Below are 22,203 nucleotides of genomic sequence, written 5' to 3'. Positions count from 1 at the left end.
GAAAAATCTAAGGTTGTACAGCAAATACTTGAGTGATACCCATAGGGAAATTAAATAAAGAGAAAAGAGTGTAGCTATTTTACCTTTCATTTAATTTATGTCTCTATTACTTGCATTTATTTCAAAGCACATAGGCTATTTTATAACTATGTTAACACCAAAATTAAAAAGAATCTAAAGAATTGTAATTATAAGGTTTTACCCGTCTGCATAGTTTTCTGAGAAGTATTTGAAAAGCAGCAAAGGACACTATAAGCTTAGCACCATGTTAACTACCATGTTAACCAATCTTTGACTTTTATCTCTTCAAATTCCTTATAGATTCTGTTTCTTAATTAATACGTACAATATCCTCTAATAGCCAAATCTTATTCTTATATTACTCACAATTACTAACCTTTCTTTTTTCCCATTTATTTGTTTTCTCTCTTCTCTTCTTCTTAATTTTTCCCTTGGCAGCATCTAAAAGTTTAAAAAGATTTGGAAGTTTCAGCTCTAACATTAAAAATTATTTTACTGATTAAAGAATTTGAAGGATTAAAATAATTGATATTTTAATCAACTTTATTATGCTTGTTGGAAGAATCTTACAAGATACAAATAGCAGATAAAACTGTTTAATTTGCCAGGCATGGTGGTGCACATCTGTAATTCCAGCATTTTGGGAGGCCGAAGCAGGCAGATCACTTGAGCTCAGGAGTTTGACACCAGCCTGGGCAACATCGCAAAACCATGCCCCTACCAAAAGTACAAAAATGAGCCAGGCATGGTGGAGTGCACCTGTAGTCCCAGCTACTCAGCAGGCTGAGGTGAGAGGATCACTTGAGCCCAGCAGGTCAAGGCTGCAGCGAGCCAAGATCATGCTACTGCACTCCAGCTTGGGTGACAGAGTGAGGCACTGTCTCGAAAAAAAGAAGAAAAAAGAAAAAAGTTTAATTATAGTTGTATCCCAGTATAAATATATGGCATTTAGGAACCCATCTAAAATACAATACTCTCCTAGGTCCACCAGAATGCAACCTCTAGTTAATCTAGGGAGTATAAGGTGTTATTAGCAGAAACTATGTGAATGCAACTATTAAGCAGTCTATTGGAAAATATAAAAAATGAATTATTTTAATTAGAAAATGGAAAAGGAGGACGGGTGTGGTGGCTCATGTCTGTAATCCCAGCACTTTGGGAGGCCGAGGCAAGTGGATCACTTGAGGTCAGGAGTTTGAGATCAGCCTGGGGAACATGGCGAAACCTCATCTTTACTAAAAATACAAAAATTAGCCATGCATGGTGGTGGACACTTGTAATCTCAGCTACTGAAGAGGCTGAAGCAGGAAAATCACTTGAACCTGGGAGGCGGAGGTTGCAGTAAGCTGAGATTGTGCCACTGCACTCCAGCCTGGGCAACAGAGCGAGACTGTCTCAAAATTAAAAAAAAAAAAAAAAAAGAAGAAAAAAAAAAAGAAAAAGAACATGGAAAAGGAGAATGTTAATTTGCCACCACATTAACTACTCCGTTCTACAAAAGACAACCATTTTCCTGACTAGAAGCAAAAGTTACCGATGTGATTTTTGTATTATCCAGCTTGGGGATGTCAGTTTCTTGAATCTTTAGTTGATGTCTTTCATCGGTTTCTGGGAAACTTTTAAGCATTATTCTCTTTATATATTGCTTCTTCCTCATTTGTTTTTCTTTCCTTCTTTGATTCCAATTACAATGTTAGATCTCATTACTGTGTCTCACATGTCTCTAACATTTTCTTCTGTATCTTTCTTTTTTTTCCCTCCTGATGTGACTTCTAGTTTACTAATTCTTTTTGTGTGTGTGTCTAATCTACTGAAAAAATCTATCTAAATTGTTAATTTTAGATAATGAATTTTTTATTCCAGGATTTATACCTGATTCTTTCTTACAGTTGATAAATCTCTATTTTCTTAAATATATTAATCATAACTATTTAAACTTCATTGCCAGCTAACTCAACATCTGGATTACCTGTAGGGCTGTTACTATTTTTTTCTCTTGTTTTTCAGTCATGTAGGCATATCTAGTAATTTTTTTTATTAAAAGTTATGTATGCTGTATTAAAAAATTCTAGAGATTCTAGATGATGCTATCCATCTCTCAAGATTATTTATCCTCCACTAGGCAAACAGAATGACGGATGATGATCGAAACCCAACCGGGGACTAGGCAGAGATGAGATTACAATTCCAGTAAGGCTCCACTTACCTCTGATTCATTCCTATCCCTCCTGGGTATTCTACAGAGGGTCTGTGTTACTGGAAGCAGAAGTCAATAAAAGAAATTTATGTAATAGTATAAACCCATAACTACAAACTGAATAGGAATTAGCTGCTCATCTTTTTCCTGAAAGTTATAGGTTATCCAGTAAAATAAGGGGAAAATAAAGGAGGAAGAAACAATATGATCCAGAAAATGGGCGACCAAACCCAAAAGAGAGGTAAAGGATATATCCAGAATGAAGACAAAAGAACTTAATATCACAGTTGCTTAACAGGCCTTGAGAACAGTAAGTCCAAATGGAGTATGTTAAATGGATCTAGGAGAGAATCCCGAAATGAAATTAACTGAATACCTGATGTGTCTGAACCTTTTCAAAGGTAATTTATACTACAACACATCACAAACACAGAAAACTAAACAAATTTTATTGACTAGGTGCGGTGGTTCATGCCTGTAATCCCAGCACTTTGGGAGGCCAAGGCAAGCAGATCATGAAGTCAGGAGATCGAGACCATCCTGGCTAACATAGTGAGATCCTATCTCTACTAAAAATAGAAAAAATTAGCCAGGTGTGGTGGCACACCCCTGTAATCCCAGCTACTCAGGAGGCTGAGGCAGGAGAATCACTTGAACCTGGGAGGCAGAGGCTGCAGTGAGCCAAGATCGCACCACTGCACACCAGCCTAGGCAACAGAGCAAGACTCCATCTCAAAAAATAAATAAATAAAATAAAATAATAATAATAATAATAATAATTAACTGTAAGGAATAAACAAGTTGTGCTAGAAAGGAACCATTATATGGTTCAGCTGTGAACAGCATAGCATCTACATAGCCATAACAATTAAAGTATTAAATTATCAAAGTTATAATAATGAAATCCTATTTAGGTGGATGGGGGGAAGAAAGTAAATGTAGGGAGAAATAGTGGTTTAAAAAGTAGCTAAATTCGGCCGGGCGCGGTGGCTCACGCCTGTAATCCCAGCACTTTGGGAGGCCGAGGCGGGCGGATCACAAGGATTGAGAACATCCTGGCTAACATGGTGAAACTCCATCTCTACTAAAAACACAAAAAATTTGCCAGGCGTGGTCGCGGGCACCTGTAGTCCCAGCTACTCGGGAGGCTGAGGCAGGAGAATGGCGTGAACCTGGGAGGCGGAGCTTGCAGTGAGCCAAGATTGCGCCACTGCACTCCAGCCTGGGTGACAGAGCGAAACTCCGTCTCAAAAAAAATAAATAAATAAAAATAAAAAAATTAAAAGCTAAATTCTAATCATCCATAGAGCCTAAAACTGAAAAATGTAGAAATGATTACATAAACAAATTATGGAATCATATCTATCAGAGATAGGTATCAAAACAGACTGCTAAAAGAGTTTGAAATGCCTGCTTCTGGAAACTGGGTTTGGGAAGAATCATTTTGAAATTATCAATTAGTGGGAGGGTAGAATAATGACATTTTGAGATATGCCAAGACTCAGAAAATTTACTTCCCAGACAACATTTTGTAAAAAGTTATTTGACAGTGTACTCTAACAGTCAAGGCAGAACACTAAGAGACAGGAAGACATGAATCTAAGAAAACAATGGATCCAACCCAGAAGACCAGCGAGGGGAGATCCTAGGATAAGAGATATAGCAGGCCTTGAGGGTAGAAAATGGTCTAGACTACACTAGGCAGGCAAGAACATCTCCAGAGAAAAGAAATGAACTCTAAGGAATAGTATAATTAAAAGGATGGAAAATCTTTTCATTATGGCAGTTATATGATCTTTTTGTCAACAATAAAAACAAGAGGGAGAACTAGAAACTCTAAGAAAAACAAAAACTATGAGAAAGTGATGGTTCGAATACGAAGCAAAAACTAAGATACAGCACGGTTTTAAGCAACTGATAGAATATAAATGATGTACTTGATGCTGTGACTAAAACATTCTCCTTTGAGAGTCCTAGCAATCATAACATTAGATCCATGAAATGGAAATGCAATTCTTGCATATGACTTGGCACTGTAGTAACACTATTTATATAATGATAGTGATTTAAATGCTAATTATTGGTCTTAAAGATTTAAAGTGAATCTATGAACGAAAAAAGAAAGACAATTCTTGTTGTAGATATTAACTACTGAAAACCTAAAAGAAGACAATGGGGAGAAAAAAATGGAGGAAAGGATAGATATACCAATATATTTAACTTATGTAAGACAGAATAAAATAATTGACTACAATTGATGGAACAAGAAGCAGAGTTACAAGTATGCTACTTATTAATACCAAATTAGCCGATAGAAAAACTAATTACAACACAACTTACAAACATTGAGAGAGTAAAGGTAGGTGAGACAAAGGAGTAATTTAAAGTGAGCCAGTCAACTGATCTTGTCTAGGGTTGAGTGTGGAGAACATTTGTTATATTTTGATTGCCTAGTATCTGATTCCGCCTCCTATGTTCAGTGAATATTTGTCCACATGCCTTTCACCATCAGTGCTGAAGAAGCCAATCTTGCTTCCCCAGCTCCCTTTGCAGCTGGGACATATTACTTGAATTAGGAACCCAAATGTTAATAGTGGTTAGCACATGCAATTTCTTTAGCCTATAATAAATATTCCGTAATTTCACTTCCTTGCCTTTGCTTGAAAATGCCTATTCATCCTCCACCTCTCAGTTTAGATAATCATTTCCTCTTCAAAGCCCTTCCTTGTCCCCATGACATATGCAGGTGAAGTAATAGCACTCACCTGCATTGTAATGAAGTATTTGCTTGTTTTATTGCCTAATATATTTTCTTTTTTATTCTTTTTAACTCCTCTATCATTCCTAATATTGCTTAATATAATAAAAGTTCCTTGTCTGAAGGGACCATGGCATGTTTACCATTATGTCTGGTACATAGTGAGTATGCTCAATAAATATTAGTTGAATAAACAAAAATTATAACATGTTTAGTATTTTTTTTCTAAATCACCTAACTTATAAATATGAAACCTTAACAGGATGATAAACATACCTTCAATACTTGAATCTGTCTGGCTTCCTGAAGACGATGATGAGGAAGAAGGAAACATAGGATCATCTGAAGAAAAAGACGTCACTGATCTATGTCGGGATCGGTGCTGGTTTTGGTTTTGCTTTCTTCTTTTCTTTCGTTTGTGTTTACCTTAAAGAGATATAAAATGGAACACAATTACTTTCCCAAATATTAGCAACATATGAGAAACATACACATTAATTCATAAAATGTATCTTAAATTACTCAAAAGGCCTTAAAGCAAGCATAAACTCCTACCTTCATATTTGCCAGCCCTGGCATCTTCAGGATTTCTGTGAGTGGACTTCTTATCCATGTCTATTAAACCTCCCTGCCATGTCTATAAAACCAAAATATTGACACATTATTAGAGAATTTAAAATGCAAAATATTTCTGGGGACAAAGAAAATGAAAATGATAACAACCTCAGCACTAACATTTTGGGCTGGATTATTCTTTGTTGTGAAGGGCTTTCCTATGGATTTTAGGCTGTTGAGCCACATTTCTGGCCTCTACCCACTAGATGCCAATAGCACCTTTATGTGTGACGACCCAAAATGGCTCCAGACATTAACAACTGTCCCTTGGGGGGCAACCACTGTTGAGAACCACAATTCTACTGAGAACAAATGGACTAGAGTAGTAGTAATAGAGACAGAAAGAAGAGGCTCAATTCAAGAATCAGAATCACCAGGAATTACTGGTGGACTGGCTATGAAGGAAAGAAAGAAATAAGGATAACTTCTAGAATGTTGGCATGACCAATTGGGTAGACAACAATACCATTAACTGAGATATGCCAACACTAAGGAAGGAATATGTTTGGAATAATATTCCACTAAAATACAGAACAGAAAATCATAAAGTTTTTCTTTTTGAGACAGAGTCTCACTCTGTCAACCAGGCTGGAGCGCAGTTGCGCAATCTCGGCTCACTGCAACCTCTGCCTCCTGGGTTCAAGTGATTCTTGTGCCTCAGCCTCCTGAGTAGCTGGGATTACAAGCGCCCACCACCACGCCTGGCTCATTTTTTTTTGCATTTTTAGTAGAGACAGGGTTTCACCATGTTGGGTAGGCTGGTCTGGAACTCCTGACCTCAAACGATCTGCCCGCCTTGGCCTACCAAAGTGCTGGGATTACAGGCGTGAGCCATCATGCCCGGCCCAGAAGTTTCTTTTCAAGGTATACCTAAATAGCAATTTAGTAGATGCCTAGAGACTAAGTAAATATGTTATTTACTTCATGTTGACAACAAAGATTATTTGAATAGAGAAAAGGCACTCACAGTAATAAGTCTGAGAATCTTCAGTACAATGTTTGAAGCCACAAGGCTGAATGATACCACAAAAGGAAAACAGCACAAATGGAGTACTAAATACTCATCTTTCGTAACTGAAAGTCAAAAGATAATGTCTAAGGTGGATATTGTCTAAATTAGGAAACATTACTATAAATATATTATTTTAAAATATGTATCTAGAGAAAGAGCTAAAAGAATTGAAGGAAGCTGCCTATGGCAAGTTAGATGGAGTACTGTAGTATTTTTTGGTTTTTAAAATGAATAAATATTATTTTGACAAAAATTTAAAAGTAAATAAATCTCCTCCAAGCACACAAAGAGTAAGTGGGAATTCTCATCCAAGATGCCAGACTTCCTTCCTAGTCATATGAAAATTATGGTTAAGCAATAAACAAAGAAAGTAAAAGGTGAGGAGTATAAAAGTGTGGAAAACTGCAGGGGTTCAAAGGAAAAAAAAATCTCAGGATAAAGCTGTTCAAAGGACTCAAGAGCAATAGTTCCAAATAAGAACAAAATATCAATGGGTTCTAACAAAGTTGTTATCAAGAATACTAGCAACATTTCGCTAAAAACCATGGACTTCAAGAGAAATATAACCTAGGCACATTCCTGAGACTTGCAATGAATAATATTTATAAAGTCACAATAAAATGTTATTTTGAGTTTTTATTTTTTCATTTTATTTATTTTTACCTTATTTATTTATTTAGGCAGGGTGTTGCTTTGCTGCCCAAGCTGAAATGCAGTGGTGCAATCATAGCTTATGACAGCTCCAAACTCCAGGGCTCAAGCGATCCTCCTTCCTAAGTCTCCCAAAGTGTTCAGATTACAGATGTGAGCCACTGAGCCTAACTATTTTCATTGGTTTTTAACATGTGAATCCAATTTACAGAGGAAAACACTGAAGTGTTCATAACAGTTATAGAACAAAAGTTAACTTATCCAATTATAATGCTATAAATGTAAAGGCAGAGCTGTCAGGACACGAAAGGTGGAGAAGAAAAAGAAAAGGTAGCGGGAAAGGAATGCTAATATCCTATGAAATCAAGAGAGAGTGATAAAACTTGTGATAGTGATAGAACAAGAAATATGTGCTTATATATATTAATTGCTTAAGTCTACAAGAGTAAACAAAAGAGAAAATAAAAACACTTTATGAAATCTGTGGAGAAAGCAGCCAGCAGGAGCAGAGGCTGTTAAAATTGAGATGAGCCCTCATCTATCACAGCAGAAACTCAGAGGACAATAAATAAATTTGACTGAGAAAAAACAGTATGGGCATACTATTTAGAAATGCAGAAACAATCACCAAAATAACTAAACATAAAAAATGTTTACGGTGTTTGTCTCTAGGGATGTGGATCCAGAAAGAGGAGAAAGCAGGTGGGATGGAGACTATTGCTTTTCATTATCAACTCTTACATGCAATTTGATCTTTTAATCATGTGCACATATTATGTTGCTAAATGTTTTTAAAAGTTTTTTAAAAAGAGTGAATTGGGAAGTGAGGAAATAAAAGACAATAAACTATATTTTACCATGAAAGCAGAAAAATGGCATAGTGGTTGGAGGAATTACTGAGGTCGGGGTGAGTTTTTAAAATGAGATTCTAGACTATTGGTTTTTTTCTTAAAAAATTTTTCAGTAAAATTTACTGAAATTTATATACAGTAAAATTCACGTGTGTACAGTATTAAGAGTTTTAACACACACATAGATACTTGTAACCACCATTAACAGGATACAGAACAATTCCAATACCCAAAGAATTTCCTCATGCTACTCCCTGGTAGTGAGACCCTCTCCCCACCTTTAACCCTGGGCAACCACTCATCTATCTGTTCACTGTCCGTTTAGTTTTACTTTTTCCAGAATGTCATATAAATGAAATCATAAGTATTTAACCATTTGATATTGGTTTCCTTCACTTAATATAACACACCTGAGATTCATCGAAGCTACTGCATATATCAGTGTTTGTTCCTTTTTACCCAGTCCCATTCCATTGTGAAGATGTACCACACTGTGTTTATCCACATTCACTCACTTAGGGACATTTAGTTCATGTAGTTCTTCTTGTTTAGTCTGCTAATATGGTAGATTACACTGATTAATTTTCAAATGTTGAAACAACCTTTTAGGACATTTTGGGCAATTATAAATAATGCTGCTATAAACATTCATTTACAGATTTTTGTGTTAACGTAAATTTTTATTTCCCTAGGATAAACACACAAAAGTGGAATTGCAGGGTTACATAGTAAGTGTATGCTTAACTTCCTAAGAAACTGCACAACTGTTCACCAAAGTGGCTGTAGTAATGCATGAATGTTCTAGTTGCTCCACATCCTTGTCAGGACTTGGTATTATTTTTTAATTCTATCCATTCTGGTAACTGTTTAATATTACCTCCTGGTTTTAATTTGCATTTCCCTAATGATTAATGATGTTGAACGTATTTTCACGTGCTTATTTGCTAGCTGTATATCACTGGCGAAGTGTCCAACTTTTTGCCTATTTTTTTAATTGGGTTATTTGGTTTCTTGTTAGGTTTTGGAAATTCTTTATATATTCTGGATATAAAAGCCTTTGGTCAAGTATGTGATTTGCAAATATTTTCTCCTAACATGGTTTGTCTTTCATTCTCTTTACGGTACCCTTTATATAGCAAAATATTTTTTGATGAAATTCAATTGATCTTTTTCTTCATAGATACTGCTTTTGTTGTTACCTAATAATTCTTTGCCTAACCCAATGTCACAAACATTTTCTTCTATGTTTTCCTAAAGAATTTTAGGTTTTAGGCTGGGCGCCGTGGCTCATGCCTGTAATCCCAGCACTTTGGGAGGCCGAGGCGGGCAGATCACGAGGTCAGGAGATGGAGACCATCCTGGCTAACACAGTGAAACCCCGTCTCTACTAAAAATACAAAAAATTAGGCAGGCATGGTGGCAGGTGCCTGTAGTCCCAGCTACTCAGGAGGCTGAGGCAGGAGAATGGTGTGAACCCAGAAGGCGGAGCTTGCAGTGAGCCAAGATCCTGCCACTGCACTCCAGCCTGGGGGACAGAGCGAGACTCCATCTCAAAAAAAAAAAAAAAAAAAAAAAAAGAATTTTAGGTTTTAAAATCAGGTCATGTGAATCCTTCAGCTCTGCTCTTCGTTCTAAAAACTCTTTTGCTAATTTAGTTCCTTTACCTTTCCTTATCAACTTTACAATCAAGTAACCTATGCCTACAAAAATCTTGCTTGGACTTTGACTGTAATCAAATTCATGGATCTATTTAGGGAGAACTGACATTTTAACTATACTGAATTTTCCAATCCATGAACACTATGGGTCTTCTTTCATCAGCATTTTGTAGTTTTTAGCACACAAATCCCGCACACACTTTGTTAGATTTATACCAGAGTATTTCACTTGTGAGGGAGGACAGTGGGTCAGTTTCCAAATCCCACACATACTTTGTTAGATTTATACCAGAGTATTTCACTTCTGAGGGAAGAGAGTGGGTCAGTTTCCAAATCCCACACATACTTTGTTAGATTTCTACCTAAGTATTTCATTTGTGAGGGAGGAGATTGGGTCAGTTTCCAAATCCCACACATACTTTGTTAGATTTCTGCCTAAGTATTTCATTTGTGAGGGAGGAGAGTGGGTCAGTTTCCAACGGTTCATTGTTAGTGTAGAAATAGGATTATGTATGTTAAGCTTGTATCCTGTAACCTGCTAAATTTGTTAGCTCTACCAGCTTTTTAAATAGACTTCTTGAGACTTACTATATAATTGTCATCTGCAAATATAATTTTATTTCTTCTTTTCCAATCAGAATGCTTTTTCTCCCATTTTCTTGACTTACTATAATTGCTAGGATTTCCAGTAAAATATTAAACAGTAGTGGAAGAGACATCCTTGCCTAGTTCCCAATCTTGGAGGGTAGAGAGCATTCAGTCTTTCACCATTAAATATAACAATAGCTATGGGTTTTGTCGATGACTTTTATTAGGTTCTCTTCTATTACTTGTTTGCTGAGTTTTAAGAATAATGAATGAATGCTGAATCTTCTTAAGTGTTTTTCTGCATCTATTAATAGCATCATGTAGTTTTTCTTATTTAGTCTGTTAATATGGAGGATTATATGATGTTCAAATATTGAATTCCTGGGATGAGACTTCGTCACAATGTACTATTTTTCTAATATACTGCTGAATTCAATTTGCTATTATTTTTTGAGGAAGTTGTATCTTTGTTCATGAGGGATTTTAACTTTTAGATTTGTTTTTTGTATTGTCTTTATCTGGTTTTGGTATCCAGAAAATGCTGCCTTCATAAAATGAGTTAAGTGTTTCTTCCTTTTCTACGATCCAAAGAGCTTGTAAGAGAACTGTTATTTTTTCATCCTTGAATGTTTGGTGAAATTTGCCAGTGAAATTATCTCGGCCTGGAGCTTTCTTTTTTTTTAAAGTTATTATTCTTTTTTTTTCTTCCTGGCAAGAAGACTCTTGCCAGGGTTTGTTTTTTGGTTGTCGTTTTGTTTGTTCGTTTTTCTCACAAATTCTATTTCTTTAATACTTATAGGACTATTTCATTTACCTATTTTGTCCTGGGTGAGTTTTGGTAATTTTGATAGTGGCCCATTTCTCTCACATTATCAAATTTATAAGTACAGAGGTGTTCGTGTATTACCTCATCCTTTTTAATGTCTGTTGGGTTGGGAGTGCTCTTAGAGCACGTATGTTTGTTTCTTTTTTAAATTTGTACTTAAATTTTTATTTGCTGATCTTCTCTGTATCATTCCAATTTTAGTATATGTGCTACTGAAGCAAGCACTAGCACAGATGTTATAGGAATGACTTCAATAAAATACTGAAGACAAGGTAGACCTGCAGCATAACTGATCCTCGAACCTTGTTATCATTGATTTCCTCTTTCAATTCCATATCCAGTCAGATATTTGATTTGTCCTTGTCAATACTTCTTCTGATTTCTCTTCATTCCCAATACTGCTTGGCACAGTCTCCTACCTAAATGATTCCCCTGCCACTTAACTAGTCTCGTTGCTTTTTCCCACTGTCATGCATTTTTCATACTGCTACCAGATTTATCTTTTTAGACCTCAAATGGTTCAACACTGCCCACAAGATAAAGGCCTTCCACATCTGGCTTAGTTCTGGTGTTCTGAATAATACTTTTTCCCTAAATCAAGGGTTTTTAACATTTAAATTTGAGAAGGAGTAGTCAACAAATCTCCTAAAATTAAGCATAAAATGTTGTATGGATGTGAATTTTATTTCCAGAGCAAGATCTACAGCTTTTTTAAAAAATTTATTTTTAGGCTGGGTCTCATGGCTCACACCTATAATCCTAGCACTTGGGAAGGCCGGGGTGGGTTGATTGCTTAGGCCAGGAGTTTGAGACCACCCAGGCCAACGTAGCAAAACCCATATCTACTAAAGTTACAAAAATTAGTCAGGTGTGATGGTGCACACCTATAGTCCCAGCTACTCGGGAGGCTGAAGCATGAGAATCACTTGAACCCAGGAGGCAGATGTTGCAGTGAGCCAAGATTGCACCAGCCTGGGTGACAAAGCAAGACTGTCTCAGAAAAACATAATTTTTATATATTTAGAGGGTACGAGTGCAGAATTCTTAGATGTACATATTGCACAGTGGTGAAGCCTGGGCTTTTAGTGTACCCATTACCAAAATTGTGAGCATTGTTCCCAGTATGTAACTTTTCAACCCTCACCCCCCTCCCATCCTCCCACCTTTTGTAGTCTGCAGTGTCTATATGTACGTGTACCCATCACTTCTCAGCTCCTGCTTTAAGTGAGAACATGTGATATTTGGCTTTCTGAGTTATTTCGGTTAGGATAATGGCTTCCAGTTCTATCCATGTTGCTGAAAAAACATGACTTTTTAATGGCTAAATAGTATTCCATGGCATACACACACACACACACACACACACACACACCACCACATTTTCTTTACCCAATCCTCTGTTGATGGAGGGTCTACAGATTTTATCAGATATTCAAAATGAGAAAATTGTACTCTGAATCCTTCAACCTTGTCTCTGTATCGAGAACACACTACAGGTGGGGTGCAGTGGCTCATACCTGTAATCCCAGCACTTTGGGAGGCCAAGGTGGGAGGACTGCTTGAAGCCAGGAGTTCAAGACCAGCCTGGGCAACATAGTGAGACCCTGTCTCTACAAAAAATACAAAAATTAGCCGGGCATGGTGGTGCACACCTGTAGTCCCAGATACTCAGGAGGCTGAGGTGGAGGCTGCAGTGAGCTCTGATCACGCCACTGCACTCCAGCCTGGGCGACAGAGTGAGACCCTGTCTCAAAAACAAACAAACAAAAAAACAAAAAAAAACACTAAAAACAAACTACAGCCTCCACCTCCCTCAATAGTGAGTACAGAGTTATCACTCCTCTCTCTGAAATTAGATTTATAATATTTTAGTGACCTAGCCTAACCTTAACATTTTACAGATGAGTAAACACATCTAGCACTTTTACCTGATTTGTCCAAAGTTGCTCTTATACAATTTGTATTCTGTGCAACTGAGATGGGATTTATCTGCTATTTTATGTGGCCTTTTTATGAAGGCCTTTTCATGTTTCTCCTTCAGGTCGGAACTAAACCTCAGAGTTCTTCAAAACCCCAATTACCTTTATTGTCTTACATAAGCTAGCTGCCCAAATGTTTGCTGAGAATAGTGATAACCATTGTCATATTGAGGTAGAGGAAGGGGGCTGGTTGGTGGGTACTGGTTTAGGGGTACTTTTTTAAGGAAGCATGAGCACATTTTGGATATGCAAAATATTATTAAGTTTAGAGCTTAGATTTGGAAAAACAACACTTAAGCGTCTGTGTAAGGAGAGCTCTGAGAAAAGGGTTTTCAGACAGAACCCAAATTTCTCAAGAAGAACCCTCTAAACAGCATTAAGGAAAAAAATTCCTCTGTAGAAGCAACTAAGAAAAAAAGGAATACTCAGTATTTGGGAAAGAGAAAGGAATGAATGATAACAACACCAGATTGAGTAAGCTACACAATAAATCCAAATTTCAGCCCTACCACATCCAACCTATGTTGCCTTGAGCAAATTATTAAACTTTTCTGTGCCTCAATTTTCTCATGTCTGCCTACTTAAGGACTGCGTGGGAAGATTAAATAAAATGCATGTAAAGCACTTAGGTCAGTACCTTACTCTTAAGGCACTCTTAAGGGTTTGAGAAGGAAGGGAGGGACGTTAAGTGGAATGGTCCTTGGTACATTTTTGTTCCGCGGCAGTAGGATTCTGAAACAGAGGACATAATTACAAAGAAAGTTGGAGTAAGAAGTGGTGGTGCGGGCATCACATTTTCCTGGTGAGTATCTGAGGGCCCATCACAACTGTAGGAAGCGGAAGGGCTAATAAGTGTCAGGCCAAGAGCACACCCTCCAGGGTGCATCTGAGAAGTCGGCGGCCGTCGAGTATTAGCACTTAAATACTACGAGAGCTTTCATGACAAAGGACACATCTTTTGGGGAAACTCAGAGCTTGGGAGCGGCCTCATTAGCGGGGGACCGGGCAGAGGGGGGCTACCAACAGTCCCCTCGGAGTGACCGAAGGGAGATTGAGGAAAGAGTGAGGTGGGAAGAAAATGGCGGCGCGGCTTCTACCGGTTTGCCTTCACACTCTAGCCACAGCCCCGGCTGGAACGGTCACTTACTGGAAACTGCAGAGAAACAACCTGTTTGGTCCGACTTGACAACCTCAACCGGACCGAAGGTGCTGAACAACCAGTGCGGCGAGCGCCGCGAAACCCAACGCCCGACCGCGTAGGGAACGTCACAGCGCGCGCACGCGCAACAGTCGACTAGAAATGTCCGGCCTACGCCACAGAGCGGGGCGGGAGCGGAAGCGACTCTTCCGGTCGCGGGAGCCTTAGGCAAGAGCTGCTGGACTGGAGGGAGGGAGGGGAGGGGAGGGGAGGGGCGCGGGGACTCAAGCCACGGTTTTTGTGTCCGCGGCTGCACCCCTCTCGAAGCGTTTTCACGCACATGTGAGAAACCTCACACCCTGGGGCCGATTTCTTTAGTAGATTGGCGCCCAAATGGCAAAGATTTCCAGGGATTTGTTTGGGATTCCATATTTTTGTAGATTTGCCGAGATTGGATACTAGTACAATATTGAGAATTCCCGTCCAGCAATGTGGCTATTTTTTTAAATTAATTCAGTTCTCCCTTTGTTTTTCAGGTAAAGCGTTGCAGTTCGCTTGGTGTTGTGCGCATTTAACATTTTTTCATAGCTATTTTTGTTATTGTAGTTTGTTTTTACTAATAGACTATTAATCCATTAGTATCCTTGTATAAGAATGGCTTTTGATTGTTGATCTATCTGGACACTTCACTAAACGTTCGTATTCTAAAAATTTGACAGGCAGTCCTCTTTGATTTGTAGGTAAGAATTTATCTGTAAAGAACAATTTTGGCTTTTCCCAAGAATCCAGTGCAACACTGAATAGTAGCCGGAGGTACTTATTTCTTACCAGGAGTTATTTTGGATTGCATCTTAGGTTTCATTCAAGATATCTTCTGCAGGTTTATGGTGTGTGTGTGTGTGGGTGTATAGGCAAATTATGTTCTTTTCGTAGTTTACCATATCGGTTTTTTTTTTAATCAGCAAATGACTAAGTTTTACCAAGTATTTTCAGTATCAGTCTTTGAGATGATTGTATGGCCTTTTTTCCATTACTCTACAATAAAATAACTACAATAATAGATTTTCTAATGGTGAGCCAAACTTAGAATCCTGGTATCTTATTTTTTCAATATATTGCTGGATGCAATTTGCTGTGTAGTTAATTTTGGATTTTCATGTATGCACCTAAGTTAGATTGGCTTATGGTTTTCTTTTGCTGTCCTTGTCTAGTTTTGGTATCAGGTTGTGCTAGGAGTCAGACAGGTTAACTTATTTTTGTATGACCTGGAATAGACATAGCATGTGTGAATGATACATTTCTTAGGTTTTGAAGAACTCATCTTTAAAGCCTTCTGGGTGTGGTGCCATCTTAATGGATAGTTTTGTTTTTTATATAGCGTCCATCGTTATTGATACCTAGAATTTTTTCTTTTGCTTCTTGAGAAAATTAGTTTTTTCTAGAAAAGTATTGGCCGGGTGCGGTGACTCACGCCTGTGATCCCAGCACATTGGGAGGCCGAGGAGGGCGGATCACGAGGTCAGGAGATCGAGACCATCCTGGCTAACACGGTGAAACTCCGTCTCTACTAAAAATACGACAATGAAAAATTAGCCGGGCATGGTGGCGGGCGCCTGTAGTCCCAGCTACTCAGGAGGCTGAAGCAGGAGAATGGCTTGAACCCGGGAGGCGGAGCTTGCAGTGAGCTGAGATTTTGCTACTGCACTCCAGCCTGGGGGACAGAGCGAGACTCCATCTTTAAAAAAAAAGTATTTCAGCTATATTTTCTAACATTTAAAAAAATCTCATATTGTTCTCAACCATTCTTATATATTCTTATATATATATTCTTATATATTGTATTGGAGTCTTTTTCTTGATCATATTTATCAAACCAGCTTTTGGTTTTATAGATAAAATCTGTCTTAAAAGTAATTTCTCTTTCATTAATGTATGCCTTCATTAATTTCTTCTTATCTCTTTGGGTTTATTTTGTTCTTTTTATAGAATCTTGGAAGCTTAACTTTCCTTTAAAATGTTTAATATGAAATATTACCAGAATGTACAGTTACAGAAAATAATATAATGAACACTTGTATACCAACCATCTAGCTTTATCCCATTTTAACATTTTCTCTTATTTGCTTCAGATTTTAACATTCAGTTAGAGCTCCTTGTGAAACTGCCTGCAATCTCATTCTCCCTCTCTTCCTCTCTGAAATTAACTACTTCATTGAATTTGGTATCTGTCATTCCCATGAAAGCTTTTATGTATGCTCCAAATACATGTAGCGATGTTAAGTAGCATAAAGTACTGTTTTATGCTTTTTAAACCTAATATAAATGATATGCATGTCACTTACTTTTGCCACCTATAATTATGTATGTAAAATTTATCCAGGATGATTCCTGTAGTTCTAGTTTTATTTTAACTGCTGAATAGTATTCCATTGTATAATTGTACCACCATTTATCCATTCTCCAGTTGCTAGCAATTTCATGATTCCTGATTTCTGTCATTATAACATGAGTTAGTTCTTGCACACAGCTTCTTAGACATATGGTAAGAATTTCCTTAGGATAATGTCTAGAAATGGAATTGCAAGGTGGAAGGGTTTGCACAGTTCAACTTTGATATTGCCAAATTGTTCTCCAGTGGTTGTACTAACTTACCCTCCATCAGCAATGTAGGAGAGCTGCTGTTGCTCCATTCCATGCCAACACAGGTTATTTTTTTGCCCCAGTTTTTTTGTTTTGTTGTTTGGTTTTTTTTTTGCTGTTACCAACTGCTGACAGTAAATTTTCTTGTACATGTTTCCTGGTACACGTGTGCAAGAGTTTCTCTGACTATAAAGCTAATGCAGTTATTAACTCTATTTTGTTTTCGGTATGTTTTTTAAAAGCATGTACATGTCCCCCTCATTTGAGATTTCTCCCTGTTAATACTAACACTTAACTTATTCATAGATATATCTCACTCATTTTTTTCTATGTATCATGCTTCCTGTTCTCTTTACTGCCTTTGGTTTGACAGTCTTTTTTTCCAGTTTTTTTCCCGCTTTAGTGGTTTGAAAGTTATATTTGATTTTTATTCTATGAATAGTAGTTACTCTTCTAACTCATTTAAAGGTGTATCTTTATATATATGTGTGTGTGTGTGTTTAGAATTCATCAGTATCCATATGAGGCAGTCTGTGTAGTGGTTAAGAGTGGAGCCTGTGAGGCCAGACTGCCTGGATTCAGATCCTAGCACTACCACTTATTAGCTGAGTAACCTAGAGCTTATTACATAAACTCTCTGTGCCTCAGTTGTTTCATCTGTAAAGTGGGGATAATACAGCATATACCTCATGAGGTTGTTCTAAGATTAATATGTTAATATATGTAACATTCTTAGGACAGTGCCTAATGCTTGGATCTCTTTACCAGATTTTTCATCTATGGAATGGGCAGAAGACTTGCCTATCAGAGTTGTTACAAAAATTCAGTGCATTAGTGTATTCATTCATTTTAATACACTGAGCACCTGCTGTGCACTTTTGAATTAGACATGGTTCTCGGCTTCAGTGGTCTCATAAGGGAACAGACATGAAATGCAATTTCAATACGATTTAACCTTAATACTCTTCCCATGTTCTCTCTTGTCCCCCTTCTAATCTGTGCTCCACATTAAGAGGCAAAACATTAATCAGATCATGCATCCTCTGCCCATCATATGTTAACTTTCATTATACTTTACATAAACCATAAACTTCTCACCATGGCCTGAGCCCTCAGGTTCTAAACCCTGTGCCTCCCTCTCTAACCTCATCAACTATCATTCTCCTGATTTCTACCAAATTCCCACCACACTATCCTCTTCTCAGTTCCTTGAGCCAACACTCTTCAGTGCCCTCTGCTCAGATTACTGATCCACCCTGACAGCTCTTCCCACGACTGACTCATCTTTCAGATCTCAGCTTGATTAGGTCAGGCAGTTAGTTACAAGCAACGGAATCCACTCTGGTTGAGAAAGAAAAGGACTTTTAAAAAATCATGTAGCTCACAGAATCTCTAGGAGAGCCAGAGGCCAAATATGGAAACAACGGTACCCAAACACACTAGACGATCTAGTGAGAATCCATTGCTGCTGCCACCATTGACACCAAAACTGCAACTTCCACAAACACTGGCGGTCCCCACTGGTAGCCAGAGTTAGGCATGTTTCCTTCTTCATCTTGCTCACTTTTTTTTTTTTTTTTTTTTGGAGATGGAGTCTCACTCTGTCACCCAGGCTGGAGTGCAGTGGCATGATCTCAGCTCACTGCAACCTCTGCCTCCCAGGTTCAAGCAATTCTCCTGCCTCAGCCTCCCGAGTAGCTGGGACTACAGGTGCCCGCCACCACGCCCGGCTAATTTTTGTATTTTTAGTAGAGACGAGGTTTCACCTGTTGGCCAGGCTGGTCTCGAACTCCTGACCTTGTGATCCACCCTCCTCAGCCTCCCAAAGTGCTGGGATTACAGGCGCGAGCCACTGTGCCCAGCCTGTCTTGCTCACTTTCAAGTTGAAATTTTGCATTGGCTATGCCTGCTTGGTGGGGCCTAGGTCACATTGCTGTGCTACAAAGGGGGTCAAGGAGGCAAGTTTTCTCATAGGAAATGCCTCAGACTTTATAAGCGTGTTGAAAAGTGCTGGGTATTCAGAAAACATGTCACATGAACATGAGATAATGTGTTACCTCAGCATTAAGGCCTTCTCTGACAACCCCAGTACATTTTCCCCACAGCAGCCCCATCAGTCTTTTCCTGTACTCTGTCATTTTCTTCAAGGCACTTGTCACAACTTGTATTGTTATGTACTTAATTTGTTCAAATGTCTTATAAATTCTGGGGCCATAGAGTCTATGCGTGGAGTTTCAAATAAGTATATTTCAAACAGCCAAAAATAATTTTAAAATGTATTTTAGTCTTTAGCATGGGCCTCTTGAAAGAAAAAAGAATAAAAAAGGCTCCAAGTCACAGTTCCCAGCAGTTCCCGTAGTTTCTGTTTGTTGTTTTGTTTTGTTTTTTCTTATTTCCATGGCTGCTTTTGCAGTGTTTCCATAGTTTCAAATTCCCTCCTCTCTCTTCTTTAATTCTCCCCAATCCTTATGTGGATCTGTTTAGCTACTCTCCATAAACCTTTCCCTTAGAGCTCACCTTTCAAATGCTTTTCTGCCTGTTCTCTTATTTTGCATCACAAACATCCAGAACAGGTCTGAGAGGTACACTTTCTTAGGACACTGGGGAGAGAAGTGGAGAGGCAAAGTCTTTATCAGCCTGGAGGCTGGGGAAGATTTACACACTGATCAGTTTTCTGTACCACTTCTGATTGACCTACAGATTAGAAGTCTGAGGAGGACAGGGACAATATCTGTTCTATTTGTAACTCCCACAATCTGACAAATATGTAGTCAACATTTGTTTTCTGGAAAAAGAAAAGTCGAGCAATTGAGGTATGGGAAAAGAAGTATACAGCACAGAGCAAGGATTCTTGACATAGTGAAGGTGAAACCACCTTTGCAGAAATTATGACAGCCAATTATGACAGTGAAAGAGATCTGACCTAGCCAACTCCATCTCACTTCTAACCCCCAAGCTGTTCTTGTGCATTCCTGAGTGTAGGCGGAACTAACTTTGGGAGGAACTTAGTTTTACTTTGAAACAAAGATGACAACAGTCCTATCTCAGAACAAACCCCCTTCCTGCCTGGGGACCAGACTTTGTAGGACTAACAAATGAGCCACAACATTAGAAATTATAGTTTAGGAGTCATGCAGCTAGAGGCCACAAGATTCTAAGCCTCCCCAATTGCTCCTAGGGATAACATCACTATTATAAAACCTACGATTGGTGCTCAAGGTATTTTCAGACCCCTCCCTGGATGGATCAGCTGCTCCCACCCAGACTGATGGTCTTGTGGCTTCCACTCAGGAACTGACTCAGCACAAGAGGACAGCTTTGACTCCCCATTCCTGGGGGACCAGTCAGCACTCCCCACTACCTGCCCCCCATCCATGAGATTATCCTTAAAAACCCCAGTCTCCGAATTTTCAGGGAGACTGATCTGAGCAATAATAAAACGGCAGTCTCCTGTACAACCAGCTGTGTGAATTAAACTCTTTCTCTGTTACAATTCCTTTGTCTTGATAAATCGGCTCTATTTGGGCAGTGGGCAAAATGAACCTGATGGGCAGTTACTAAGGGTGAAGTGTGGGAGTAGGGTTACAGATTAAAGGATAGTTTAGGAAGGCATCCCAGAGGTGAGGCCAAAGCAGAATCTTGAAGGGCAAGAATTATCCAGGCAAAGAAGGTAAGGATAGAGAAGAGTATTCAGGCCAGGCATGGTGGCTCACGCCTGTAATCATAGCTCTTTGGGAGGCTGAGGTGGGCAGGTCACGAGCCTGGAAGTTTAAGACCAGCCTGGGCAACACGGTGAAACTCCATCTCTACAGAAAATACAAAAAAATTAGCCGGGCATGGTGTTGCATGCCTGTAGTCCCATCTACTTGGGAGGCAGAGGTGGAAGGATCACCTGAACCCAGGGAGGTCAAGGCTGCAGTGAGCTGTAATTGCGCCACTGGACTGCAGCCTGGGTGACAGAGTAAGACCCTATCTCAAAAAAAAGAGTATTCCAGATAGACATATAGCACAAGCTCAGACAAATATCAGATAGCTTGGGGTGGTGTTGCTAAATGCAAAGTAGAAATGTCAGGAGGTGAGGCCGGAAAGGTACAAGTGGCATGGAGGGCCTTGTATGGCACTCCATGAGGCTGGGCTTTTTCCTATGGGCTATGAAGCCACAGTGTGGGTGGGGTGGGAGTCATATTCAGATTTTCATTTGAGACGGATCATCAGGTGACACTGTAGAGGTTGGATTTCAAAGAGGCACAACTAAAAATAGGAAGAATAGTTGTAAGTTAAAAAATAATGTAGGCCTGAAACAGGACAGTAGTACTGAGGAGGGGTAAGTAGTAGGAATACTTTTAAAGAAATTATTTGGAGATCAAATTGGCAGTGCAGGGTGGGTTACTGGATAGGGAAGATGAGGGAGGAATCTAAAATAGTGTCCAAACTTTTGGCTCGGACAATGATGTCATTTAGGTAGAAAAAATTGAGGAGTAATAGGTTGGCAGTAGTGGGGAAGGTAGGAAGATTTCCAGTTCCGTATGGTGAAGTGGTTCTTAAAGTCCCTATGGGATTCCTGAATTTAGATGTTCAGCAGGTACTCAGATCAGCTTATGGCAAAGGCCAGGGTCAGAGATACAGACTTGAGGAGAGAGCAGCATGGGGGTGAGAGTGTGTTCAGAAGGGCTGTGGGAGTGCTCTGGGAGTGGCTGCTGTTCCGAGGCTGGCATTTGGCCCTGTTGACATTCTTTTCTCTTCCCACCTTCCTTGGTGTTTCTCTTACCTCTGATCATTCCTTCTCCAAATGCTTTACAGGCTCGTCTTCCTCTTCCCATAGAATGTGTTATTCCTGTGTGATTTCACCACCTGGGACCCCTACTGTGCCTCCATCAAACCTTTATCTCCAGCTCAGAATTCTTATATAAGATTGAGACGTATGTCTCCAACTGCTTTCTAAGAGAAAAGAGGTAGTCAGTAGCGTGGACTGATTATCCAGGGACCACACAAAGGGTTTGTACTTCACTGTCCTATTGTATTCAGGACTGGCACTGTGAATTGATCCTGGCTGTGACTATCTCTTGTTTTCTCTGAAAATACCAAATGTGGAAATCAGGAGTCAGATTTCAGACTTGTTAATAAGCATTATTAACACACACACCCCCACTATAATCCTTCTGTAACTTATTAACTTCCCCTTTATGCTTAGTGTATTGTTATCTTTTCATCAGGAACCAAAATTAACCCAAAATGGAAATAAAAATTTAAATCTTATTGATACAGAAGA

At 38.8% G+C, this 22,203-nt stretch overlaps 3 long non-coding RNA genes across 3 annotated transcripts in view, besides 2 other annotated features; 2 read left to right on the top strand and 1 right to left on the bottom strand.

Annotated features, from left to right (window-relative positions):
• The window catches only part of LINC00467 (long intergenic non-protein coding RNA 467), a 49,781-nt gene extending 35,307 nt beyond the window's left edge, over nucleotides 1-14,474 (bottom strand). The window contains exons 1-4 of the long non-coding RNA NR_026761.2: nucleotides 14,304-14,474; nucleotides 5,532-5,613; nucleotides 5,253-5,402; nucleotides 398-462 (exon numbers count right to left, since the gene is read on the bottom strand). This is a non-coding gene — a long non-coding RNA (long intergenic non-protein coding RNA 467). The remainder of the gene's footprint in view (nucleotides 1-397; nucleotides 463-5,252; nucleotides 5,403-5,531; nucleotides 5,614-14,303) is intronic.
• LOC107985259 (uncharacterized) lies at nucleotides 12,945-14,403 on the top strand. The gene is made up of 2 exons (XR_001738447.1): nucleotides 12,945-13,958; nucleotides 14,275-14,403. It is a non-coding gene; the product is annotated as an uncharacterized LOC107985259 (long non-coding RNA).
• Nucleotides 14,292-14,361: an enhancer, noted in NCBI's record as "active region_2485". NCBI's record gives its function as "activates an Ori minimal core promoter by ATAC-STARR-seq in GM12878 lymphoblastoid cells {active_cell/tissue: GM12878}" and the evidence as "EXISTENCE:reporter gene assay evidence [ECO:0000049][PMID:35858748]".
• A 10-nt stretch (nucleotides 14,475-14,484) lies between the features above and the next one.
• On the top strand, nucleotides 14,485-20,427 carry LOC124904504 (uncharacterized). The gene is made up of 2 exons (XR_007066868.1): nucleotides 14,485-14,636; nucleotides 14,831-20,427. It is a non-coding gene; the product is annotated as an uncharacterized LOC124904504 (long non-coding RNA).
• Nucleotides 19,003-19,779: an enhancer, noted in NCBI's record as "NANOG-H3K4me1 hESC enhancer chr1:211550792-211551568 (GRCh37/hg19 assembly coordinates)". NCBI's record gives its function as "activates a minimal SCP1, AML or CMV promoter by ChIP-STARR-seq in primed H9 embryonic stem cells {active_cell/tissue: H9 hESC(primed)}" and the evidence as "EXISTENCE:reporter gene assay evidence [ECO:0000049][PMID:30033119]".
• Nucleotides 20,428-22,203: the final 1,776 nt, after the last annotated feature.

This window comes from Homo sapiens, chromosome 1 (assembly GCF_000001405.40).
Source record: "Homo sapiens chromosome 1, GRCh38.p14 Primary Assembly".
Lineage (NCBI taxonomy): Eukaryota > Metazoa > Chordata > Mammalia > Primates > Hominidae > Homo > Homo sapiens.
Note: the sequence above shows the minus strand (reverse complement) of the source record. Positions and strands in the feature narration are given on the sequence as shown.